The sequence below is a fragment of the Homo sapiens genome, chromosome 3 (genome assembly GCF_000001405.40).
Source record: "Homo sapiens chromosome 3, GRCh38.p14 Primary Assembly".
Lineage (NCBI taxonomy): Eukaryota > Metazoa > Chordata > Mammalia > Primates > Hominidae > Homo > Homo sapiens.
In genome coordinates, this window is record NC_000003.12 from 127,469,955 (window position 1) to 127,480,395 (window position 10,441).

A 10,441-nucleotide genomic window follows, 5' to 3' on the forward strand; every position below is an offset into this window, starting at 1 on the left:
TAAAAATGCTGCATTTCTCCGGCCACAGCGATTGGTTCAGGAGGGGTTATGTAGCCCAGGCAGAGCCAATCAGAGGCAAGGAGTATCACGTTTTAGATTTTGCAGCACTTTTGGGAAAGAGGCAGGTCGTTCTTTTCATGGCGGGGGGGTGGTCACTGAGCTCGTAGGACGTTGACAAGGAGCTCATCAGGGTTTGCAGTAGCTTGGGTGCCCTGGGAAGTAGACTCTCGACATTGCCACAGATTTTAGCAAGCAGAGCATTCATTAAAGGGGGCCTGGGGATGACCCCTGTGGAAGGCGGGAGAAGGAAGTGGAGGAGGTAGAAGGAGAAGTGACAGCCTCAGCCACCCTACAAGGACCTCTGGGGCTAGTACCGAGGTGGGCTGAGATGACCAAGGCTTTTTATCCTCACATCCATCAGTCACTGGGTCTGGGCCACCAAGAAAAAGGATGTGGCCTTAGCCAAGGCAGTTCTCTCTAGCCAGAGCAATCCTTGGAGGACCAGGAACTGTCTGCTGACAGCCCTTCCAGCTGGGAGGAGTCTGTGCAGTGTGTCCCAGGCCGTCTTTGTTACCACTAGGGGAGATATGAATGAACGAATGAAGAATGAAAACTCTGAAAAAAACAGAGCTAAGAAATAAAGCCATATTGAGTCTTGAAGACTTTGCAGTGCCTGACCCATTCCCATAACTTCTTGCTTCAACCAGTTTGAGCTGGACTTCTGTCTCTTGCAACCAAGAGAGTTGACCAACAGAGCCTTACCAAGGGTGGGCATTCAGTCCAGGTTTGGCCAAATTAGTCGCTTCAGGGTCTAACATGGGAAGGCCTTGTGGTGACAAGAGCTGGGGAGAAAAGGTCTAAGGGGTCAGAAGGGAGCCCTGGAGCTCACATCAGAGGCCAACACGGGACACAGCCAGGGCATCAGAAGTGAGCTGCCAGGGAGGTGTGAGGGGGAGGCAGACCAAGAAGGAAAGTGGGGGATAGAGGAAGGTCTGCAGGTGCCCACCATCCCCAGCCTCTCAATGCCTAGTGGGGAGCACTGGGTGACACTGATACTGATTAATGAGAGCCTCCTGGCCACAGGGCTCAGTTCATGGGTGGGCAGGTGACCCTAGCAGGACCAATTAGAGTCAAAGCGCCTCAGGCCCAAGCATTCTACCAGAGTTAATGTCTCCAGACCGGTCCCAGTGTGCGCCTTCCTCTCACCCCCACCATGTGGTTATCACCACATCCCCTCCCCTGTAGGTCCCCTCTCCAGCCCAGCTGGAAGCAGGCCGGTGCTGTTGAACCTCAAGCCTTGCGCCCTTTGGGCCAGACCTTCCTGGCTCGCAAAATCTCCTTGGGAGCAAGGCCAGGTCTCCAGTCATCTCTGATTGCTCTGCCACCTGCCCCTTTCCAGTGGACTCAGCCCATCTGATTCACACTGAACACACATTTGTTTAGCAGAGAGTGTCAGACAGAGGTGGGGACTGGGGGAGGCAGGGAGAGAAAAGGGAAATTCAATGACAGAAACACACAAATGAAAACAAAGTCCAGCTGAAAATGCTGAGTATGTCCTCGAGGCTCTCAGAATTCCCAGCCTTGTGGCTCAAAATTGAGGGAGGGAGGAAAGAGACAGGCAGGGAGGGAAGGAAATGCCAGCTGCCCTTTTCCCAATGACTTTATATGCCCCCAACTTCATGACAGGAACTTGCCACTGCATTATCTCAAATGGCCGCCCAGCAAACCTTCATGGAAGGACAGATGAGGAGACCAAGGCCTGGGCAGTGGCAGAGTGTCCGGCCTTTACATCTAGGTGCTATTTCTACTCACACCGAAGAATGGGGTGTGTGTTTGGGGTGAAGGTATACCAGGAGGGGAGAGCAATAAATCCGTAAGAACAATTAAGTGATTCCCAGAATGAATGTCCAAAAGTATGGATTATCCTAGTTGAAAGGACCCCCAAGCCACAGACTCTGGACCCTGCTTTGCAGATAGGTAACTGAGCTCCCAAGCTATCCCTATGTCCTCAAATAAGTGACAGGACCAGGAATAGGATTGGGGTCTCCCCGTTGGGTCTCCCAATCACCAGCCTGAGGCTCTAGACATGCCTGTGAGCTTCTCCTCATTCCGGAGACCCCAGCGCCCCTCCCCAGGTCAGTGAGGGAAGAGAAGAGTCCACAGAGGGCCCCACTGTCTGAGCGTGGAGCTGCCTTCCCTTTGTTTAAGCCCATTGTCTTTTGTAATTAGAAAATAAATTACTTTTTCTCAAAGAAGCATGCCTGGTTCTAGCTCCATGGATAAGAGGGATAAGAGGCAGGGTGCATCCGTGGCCTGACAGGTGGAGAGCTGGCACCCTATCAGCCCATCCCGGCACTAAGGCCTATGGAAAAGAGGGGGTAGGGGAGGGGGAAGCTGGTGGGAAGGAGGCAGGCAGAGGAGGAGGGGGCCAGGAGTTTGACTAACGCAGACCCTTTGTGTCTGCAGCACCAGTCCAGCAGCCAAGAAAACAGAATCCAAATAGTTTTTGAAAGAGGGTCCCTCGGGTTCTTACTCCAGATGGGGAATGGGTTTTAAGGTGGCCCTACTGCACTGTCCCACCACGTGTGTGCGTTGACAGCATCCAATCCCAGTGTAGTTGTCTGGCTGGAGCCTGCCGGGCCAGGGCCCCCACTGAGGAAGAGCTGGGCTCCAGCTCCTGCCCTGCCCTGCCCTCCTCCTGTGCTCACTCCGTTCCGCCCCTCGGCCTCCATGCTCACCCTCAGCACCCCCACCCTAAGGCCTTCGCCTGCTGCCTAAAGGTGTCCTCAGCCAACCTGGCCGCCCTCCCGAAGGTCTCTGCCCACCCCGTCCTTCCGTGACCTCCCACCCTGCCCTGCATCTCATTACACCTGCCTGCTTTTTTCCTCCAGAGCTCTATCCCCTTCTCTCACTCTATCAAACTTGTTCTTTTCTGTCTCTACCTCCCCATGGATGGGGGTTCACAGTCCTCACAGCAGAACTGGGGCGGCCTCGGTGGGGCAGGTATAGAATGAAGCTGTCCAGGCCTGCAGGCACCCTGTCCACGGAGGCCTCGGCCTTGGAGAGAGGCTTGTCTTCCCAGCCATCCAACTGGGTTTTTTGAGGGTTTATTTCCCTGTGTCATGCCCATCCACTTCACTGTTTGTTCCCAGCACTGCAGTTATGAAGCAGAGTTGAGCAGAGAGCAGGGCCCAGGGCTCCTTTGAGGCTGGCATGACAGAGATGGCTGGCATTGGGGAGAGATCCTTAAGGCCAGGAATCTTGGAGGACAGGGCCCCACCCCATTCCTTCATGGAGATTCTCCACTGCATCAGCTGCAGAGCTGAGTTGTGTCTGGTTTAAGGAAAGCGCCCTTAGGGGCTGGTGCAGGGTCCCCAGTGCTCCCTGGCTTACACCTGTGACCTTATGCCGAGAATTTACCTTGACCAATGAGTGCCACCTGGTGGAGACACCTGGGAGGTTACGCCCACCCTCCCATCCACCCCCGGAGGTGGAGAGCAAAGCTGGCTGTTCTGACTGAGCAGAGCACAGGAGCCCAGGCCCCTGGCCTCAGGGCAGGACAGAGCCAATGAGATTTGTTCTCCAGAACGCTTCCCCGCCCCAATCCCAGCGGGCCCCACTTGAGACCACATTCTTGCTCGGCACATTCACTTCCCTCCACTTACAGGGGTCCCCTGAGAGCTCCCTCAATAAACCAGGCTCAGGCCCTGCCTCTAAGGGGGCAGCCTAAGCTGGTGAGGGTGTGAACACCACCCGGACCCTCTCCCAGGCCCGGGGAATAACAAGCAGGAGTGTGGGAATGTCAGTTGGCAGAGCCTGAGCCAGGGAGGGCCAGGATGAGAAGGCAGGGCTGGAGGTCCCCACACAGGAGGGACCTGAGCCAGGACCAGAAGGTCAACCAGGGGCCCCAGCAATTTCTAGCCCACACAGGGCTGTGTCAGAGTCCAAGGGTCAGATCTGAGGACCTGGGCAGGATTTAGCTTCAGCACTTATTGCTGGTGGAAGCTTTGCCACAAGCTAAGAACTCAAGCCACCAGTGAGATCTTCTGAGAGACAATTACTATTCAGACCCTAAGGCCTTGGCCCTGCTGGGACTCCTGAGTCCCCACTATTAGAAAGGGCCTCAGGTGTCCCCAGCATCTGTTGTTGGAATTGTACGAAACTAAAATTGCTATGCAAAGCTGCCAGGATTGCTGAATAATAAAGTGAGCTTGGAAGTAGTCCAATGACTAATTTCTTTAATATATAAAGAGTTTCTACAAATCACTAAAAAACACAATGGAAACTTTGTTAGAAAAAAATAGGCAAATGTTAGGAGTAGGAAATACAAAGTTTTCAACTATATTAGATGTTTATTATCACTTAAAATAACATATCACAAATGCAACAAGATGCCATTTTCATCTATTAGATTGATGAATATCAGAAGATTGGATAATATACTGTCCAGTGAGGATGCACATGAGCAGACCTTGCACCCTCCAGGTGGGGTGACATTTCTATCCACTTACAAACACACTTGCCCTTGACCCAGCATCACTTCCGAAAGTTCACCACAGGTGTACCAGGACTCGAGGATTGAGGTGTGTGTACAGCGTGGTGGTGCAGCAGGACAGAGGACAGAGAAATGATCTCAGTGTCCTTCAACAGGGACTGGTCACATGGACACAGCACATCCATATGGCGAGGTCCACTGCAGCCACTTTAAAAAGAAGGAAGCAGATCTGTACATGCTGATGTGGATAACCCACATGCAGACCATGAAGATCAAAAGGCAAGCGGCAGAGTGCTCTGTATGACATGCTACTATTCGTGTGTGGGTGTGTGTGTGTGCACGTGTGTAAAATATATCTAGAGTGATGCTCATGAAACTGACAAGAGCCATTGGCTCTGGGAAAGGAAGCTGGGCGTCGGGGTGGGAGAGACACGGAGTTCTCACTGTATTTTGATTCTTGTTTCTAAGATCTTTTCAAGAAACAAAGTTTAAAGCTAAACTTCAAACAGATGTCTATCTGAGACTCAGGGGAGGGGAAGAAAACAGGAGGAGCCGAGCTAGAAGGGCCCTGGGCCTGATTCAGCAGGAGGGACTAGCAGGGAGCCCCCAGGATGTTCCTGGGGAGAGGGTGGGGAAGGAAGGGACTAGGGAAAGGGGCCCTAACCACAGGGGCAGAGTGAGTTGGGGTGCCTGTGGGAGGCATGTTGGGGGGACACAACCACTCACAGGGTCCCTTCTGGATGGAACCAGATGCATTTGCCAGGGGCCAGGTCCACTGGGGTCAGGGTGGGTAGAGGTAGACTGGCCCATCTGCTTATTAGACTTCAAGAGCTGATTCCCTGGCGGGGAGCTGAGGAGCAACTTGGAAGGATCCCCAGAGTGGGGCTGATAGAGAAACCTGGGGTTTTGAACCCACCCCAAGGACCCCCGACACACACACACACACACACACACACACACACGTCCTACTTAAAGCTCCTCAAGGCTTCCCATCACTCACACACACACACACACACAAAAAAAACAAAAACCGTTCCCATAGTCCACAGGAACCCATAAGGCCCAGCCCCATCTGCAGCTGCACCCCACGCCCACCCCATGGGCACACCCGGGAGCCCTAGCCTCTGACCCACCAAGCCCCACCCACCATGGGCTTTGGTAAGAAGGTTGCTCCTAGGATGTTCCTTCTTCCCTCACCCACTCCACCCACCACCTACCTCGTGAACTCCTCTTTGTCCTTGGAGGGAAGCTGGGCTACTGCTTCCTTGGGAAGCCATCTCGCTTTCATCAGGGTCTCGAAGTCAGTGCTTCTGGCAGCTGTCTGTGCAGTTATTTGATTGATACCTGTCTCCTCACATAAGACTACCAGCTCCAAGAGCACAGGAAGCACTTCCTTTTATTTTATTTCACTTTATTTTATATTTCATTTTATTTCATTTTATAAGTCTACCACGCTTAGAGACACACGCACAAGCCCTCAGTGCACAGCTCACTGAATTCCCACACAGTGCGCACACCTGCATAAGGGGTGCCTAGGTCAAGACATGAAACCCAGCCATTTCCCAGCAACATGCCATGTCACCCTCCCACTGAAGGGGGACCACTAGCCTGACTTCCAACAGTCTAGCTCCATTTTGCTGGTTTTGAGTTGTATGTACATAGAATCATATCTCTGTGATCTTCTGTTGGACAGATGCCCGGACCTGTGAGACCCAATGGTGGTGTTGCCTGTGACTGCCCCTGCTTCTTCTCATGCTATGTCATGCCCCACAGGGGGATTTCCCACATTTATCTATTTAGTCTATGTCAAGGGACATGTGAGTTGTTTCTGGTTGGGGTTGTTTGAATAACACCACTATGTGCATTCTTGTACATGTCTTTTGGAAAACATATGTGGACATTTCTGCTTCACGTAGACTCAAGCATGGAATCACTAGGCCAGAGGATAAAAGTGTGTTCACCCTTCAACAGTGGACTGCCAAGCAGTTTTCCAACATGGCTGTTCCAATTCTCTGCCCTGCTGCCCGTACTTGATGGGGCTTATCATTGTCACAGCAGTCGTTCTGACACAGACCACATCTGGTTTATTCATTCTTTATCTCCGTGCCTAGTGCAGTGCCTGATGCCACATAGTAGACGCTTTAAAAGAGTAGGAAAGAGGAATGGAGGGAGAGAAGGAGAAAAGAGGCAAGTGAGGAAGGAAGGGAGAGAAGAGGAGGAAGGTGGGAAGGGGAGGGGGAAGGGAAGGAGGGAATGGGAAAGGAGGAAGGAGAGAAGGGAGGAAGGAGGGAAGGAGGGAAAGAGGGAAGGGAGAAAAGTAGGGCCTGTCTCCCACAACTGGTGTGATTCTGGCTTTAAGTCCTGCAGCAGCTGAAGCAAACATGAAGCCAGAGGGCTCCTTGGATCCAGCAGGAATTATCTCAGCCCCGGAGACAGCCCCTCGAGCAGAGATCAGAAGTCTAGAACAACACAGGTGCTTCGATCTGCCTCTGCTAAGATGGAAACTTTCCTGGAGGTTTGGCAGGAGGTAGACACCTCCGGACTAGCGCAGCTTCACTGGAAAGGAGAGACGTCATGAAGATGAAGAGAAATAGCCTGAAACAGCATGTTTCAGCAAGGAATCAAAGGCAGAGAGAGCATGGAAGGTGCCTGGCGACACCACGCTGGTGCAGGGTGAGACGAGGAGCTGCCGGGGGCAGCTGGTGGGCCCGAGGGAGCCTTCTCCTGAGGTTAGGAGGGCGCAGGATGACAGAGCCTGATGGAGAGTTCAGAAGGGGAGGATGTGGCTCAGGCCTCCATGTCAAGTGGACGAAGCATGAGAAAGGGAATGTAACAGTGGGGAGGACTCTGTGTGCACGCGTGTGCATGTGCATGTATGTGTGTGTGTTTAATTTAAACTTGAACAAAGGAAAGCAGGGATGGCAGCGCTAACATCAGACGAAGCCAACACAGTAAGTGTGGTCCAGGGGCTCACTGTATCATGACACCAACAAACACTAAAACAGCAGCACCAGTATTCAGCTCTCGAGCATTTTCTGCGAGCCAGGCACTGTGCTTCCTGTGCCCCACGCGTGCGCTTATCTCCTGACAAGAGCCTCCTCAGTGAACATGGCTCCAAGCCCCATTGTAGAGACGAGGAAACTGAGGCAGGGAAGCTCCACAGCGGCCCTGAGTGGGACGGGAGGCCCCAGCAGCCCAGCTCCAGAGGCCACACTCAGGTCATCAAAGAAAGGCTCAGTGAATCCTGATGTTCCTTTTCCTCACACTTTCATAGACCAAACCACAAAACTCATTTTTAAATGTTAGAGATAAAAGGAGAGAAGACATGACATTTTAATTCACTAATACTCATTTATGGAATATTAAGTAAGCAAAAAATAAGCACAGAGGATATGAACTATGTCATTGAGAAGATAGAATTAATACGTGAGCATTTATCATTTTACCCAACAAACAGAGAATGTGCCATTGGTGGGAAGGTTCAGGGAACATCGTTAAAAGCTGATCATATCATCAGTCCCGGTGAATATGTCAAAAAGATTTTTCAAACAGATCTTTTAGAGACCACAGTCTTGACCACAATATAATAAAGCTAGAAATACTTTCTAAAAATAGAAAGAAAAGTAGAGATTTAAAACTACTCTCCTAAATAACATCTAGGTCAAGGAGGAAATCAAGTACACAGTAACTGATAACCCAGAAACAATGAAAATCAAACCTACATATCAAAACCCACAGGACGGTCCTCGCCAGCCTCAGAGGCTCGCCCATAACTTTAAACGTGTTTATTGTCAAACCAGCTCACACACGCAAAGAGAACGTGAAGAGATGAGGCTTTCAACCTCGGATTTTTAAGAAAAGAACAAACCTGAAGAAAAATAGGAGAAAGAAAATCCTAAAGATAAAAGCAGATAAATAAATTAGAGAACATGAAAGCAGTGAAAATAACAAATAAATACCAGACCTGGTTCTTTGAAAAAAACTAATAAAATAGAAAAACTTCCTGCAAATCTAATGAAAAAAACTGTAAATGTGAAGGTCTTTCCACTTAAAATTGAGGGCTCTTTAATTTTTTAAACGCAGACAGACTATTATAATAAGAGAAAAAATCTCCAGGTAGGCCGTGGGGAGCGGAAGGGGGGCCAACCCACACCGCAGATGTCCCTCTCCCGGTGGCACCTGCAGAACTGGGGACATGAAGTTCTCAGATTCTCCTCTTTGGGATCTTAGGAGTCCGCTGCATGAAGGGGAGCACCCTTACTCTTAGGAGACATCTGGGGCTAGACCGTCCTTCAAGAGGTCCCGAGCATGTGGAATGGGCAGTCCTAGTGGTCTCCTGGGCCCATTTCACAGAAATGAATCTCAGGCTCAGCCAAGCTAAGGGCTACAGAAAGGTTCTCTGCGTTGGCCACCTGATGGCCATGCTCACATGGTTCTCTCCCGCTAGAATGGCCTCCCACCCATCTTCCATGTCATCTCTGTTCTTAATTTTCTTTTCTGATGAATCTTTCTAAGCAGGGGGCAGAGGTCTTAGTGGATTCATGTAGACCACTGGCAACTTTTATTATTGATAAAACACTCCAAGCTCCCTAGCGGCAACTTCCTTGGCAGTCGCGGAGGCCTGAATGTGAGGAGCTCCACCCAGGCCCCTGCCCTGGCCAGAGCCTGTACCCCGCTGACCCCTCAGAACCCCTGTCTCCACTGGGGCCACTTCCCCCCACATCCTCACCAACACAGCCCTTCTCACAAAGTAAATGAGGACTGTGTCATTCACCATCGGCGGGCTCTATAGATTAGGTGAGTTCATAGCCCATGGTTACCAAAATAACAGCACAAAGTAACTAAGTGGAGAGCTGACTCTAACGGCCAAGTTTGTTTTAATGCTCTCACAAATTACTTTAGTCTTGAACTGATCACCTCATTAATTTAACATTTTTACATAACTGAGGACATTATATGGGAGAATCAGTTGCTAAGATCATGTCATTTACAACTTGCAAGCGACAAAAACCCAACTCAAACCGGTTTCGCAAAACAAAAAGTAGTGAATCCCTTCCCGTGGGGCCTGGCTGGCCCTGGCTGCTGCTGATTGGTTCTACTTTCCTGAGTGTGGCCACAACCCCAGGCGGGTCCCCCTCACGCTTGCAAGACAGGCAGCTCTGACCCACATGCAGCCAGCTGGGAACCTCGCCACTTCCAGCAGCATCCTGAGGTCAGCTGGCACTGGGCCACTGAGCCTGCCAGGCCTAGGGGACGCAGGTGTCATCCCCCACACGCCGCACAGACTGACTTTGTTCTCCAAAGGAAAGCTGAAGGGGATTGTGCTGCTGGCAAAACAACAGACGCCCAGGACAGCATGTTTGCAAATTTGGAGATTCATGAAGGTCTCCGGGTGATCAAAACGCGCTCTTCAAAGAAGCAGGCTGCAGGATTTAGGGTGTCCCCTTGTGATGTCTGTTACTTACTTTCAAAGAGTTCCGCACAGAGAAAATGCATAAAGAGAGGAAAAGAGATGGAGCAACTATACAAAAATTTTAACTATTATTGAATCCAGGTGCAAGTCATTCCGATTTCTTCCAATTAGTCCTCCCATTCTTCTCTGTTTTAAATGTTTTCATAAGCAAAATGGCAGAATAGTTACCAGCTAAATTGTTTTCGAACAATAAGAAAATAATGCACATTTTGCTGATAAATGTAAGATTTATTTGTGTCAACCCAAGGCCCCCTTCCCCTGGGTGGTGAGAAAGTGTCCTCTTGCTGGAGCTTGCTACACTGAGTGTCCTGGCAGATAGGCCCCTCAGAAGACAGCCCGGCTAAGAAAGCCTCTGGGCTGGGCCCTGGGACTGTCCCTGAGCCGGGAGCTGTTTGTATACCAGCCAACCTCTGAATGGCATAGACTCAGCTCAGAGCAGACTCAGCCTGGTCTGGGGGCTCAAGGCAGCTCCG

At 50.8% G+C, this 10,441-nt stretch overlaps 2 annotated features.

Moving 5' to 3' along the window:
• Window positions 3,154-3,655: an enhancer, noted in NCBI's record as "H3K4me1 hESC enhancer chr3:127191951-127192452 (GRCh37/hg19 assembly coordinates)". NCBI's record gives its function as "activates a minimal SCP1, AML or CMV promoter by ChIP-STARR-seq in naive and primed H9 embryonic stem cells {active_cell/tissue: H9 hESC(naive and primed)}" and the evidence as "EXISTENCE:reporter gene assay evidence [ECO:0000049][PMID:30033119]".
• Window positions 3,656-4,155: an enhancer, noted in NCBI's record as "H3K4me1 hESC enhancer chr3:127192453-127192952 (GRCh37/hg19 assembly coordinates)". NCBI's record gives its function as "activates a minimal SCP1, AML or CMV promoter by ChIP-STARR-seq in naive and primed H9 embryonic stem cells {active_cell/tissue: H9 hESC(naive and primed)}" and the evidence as "EXISTENCE:reporter gene assay evidence [ECO:0000049][PMID:30033119]".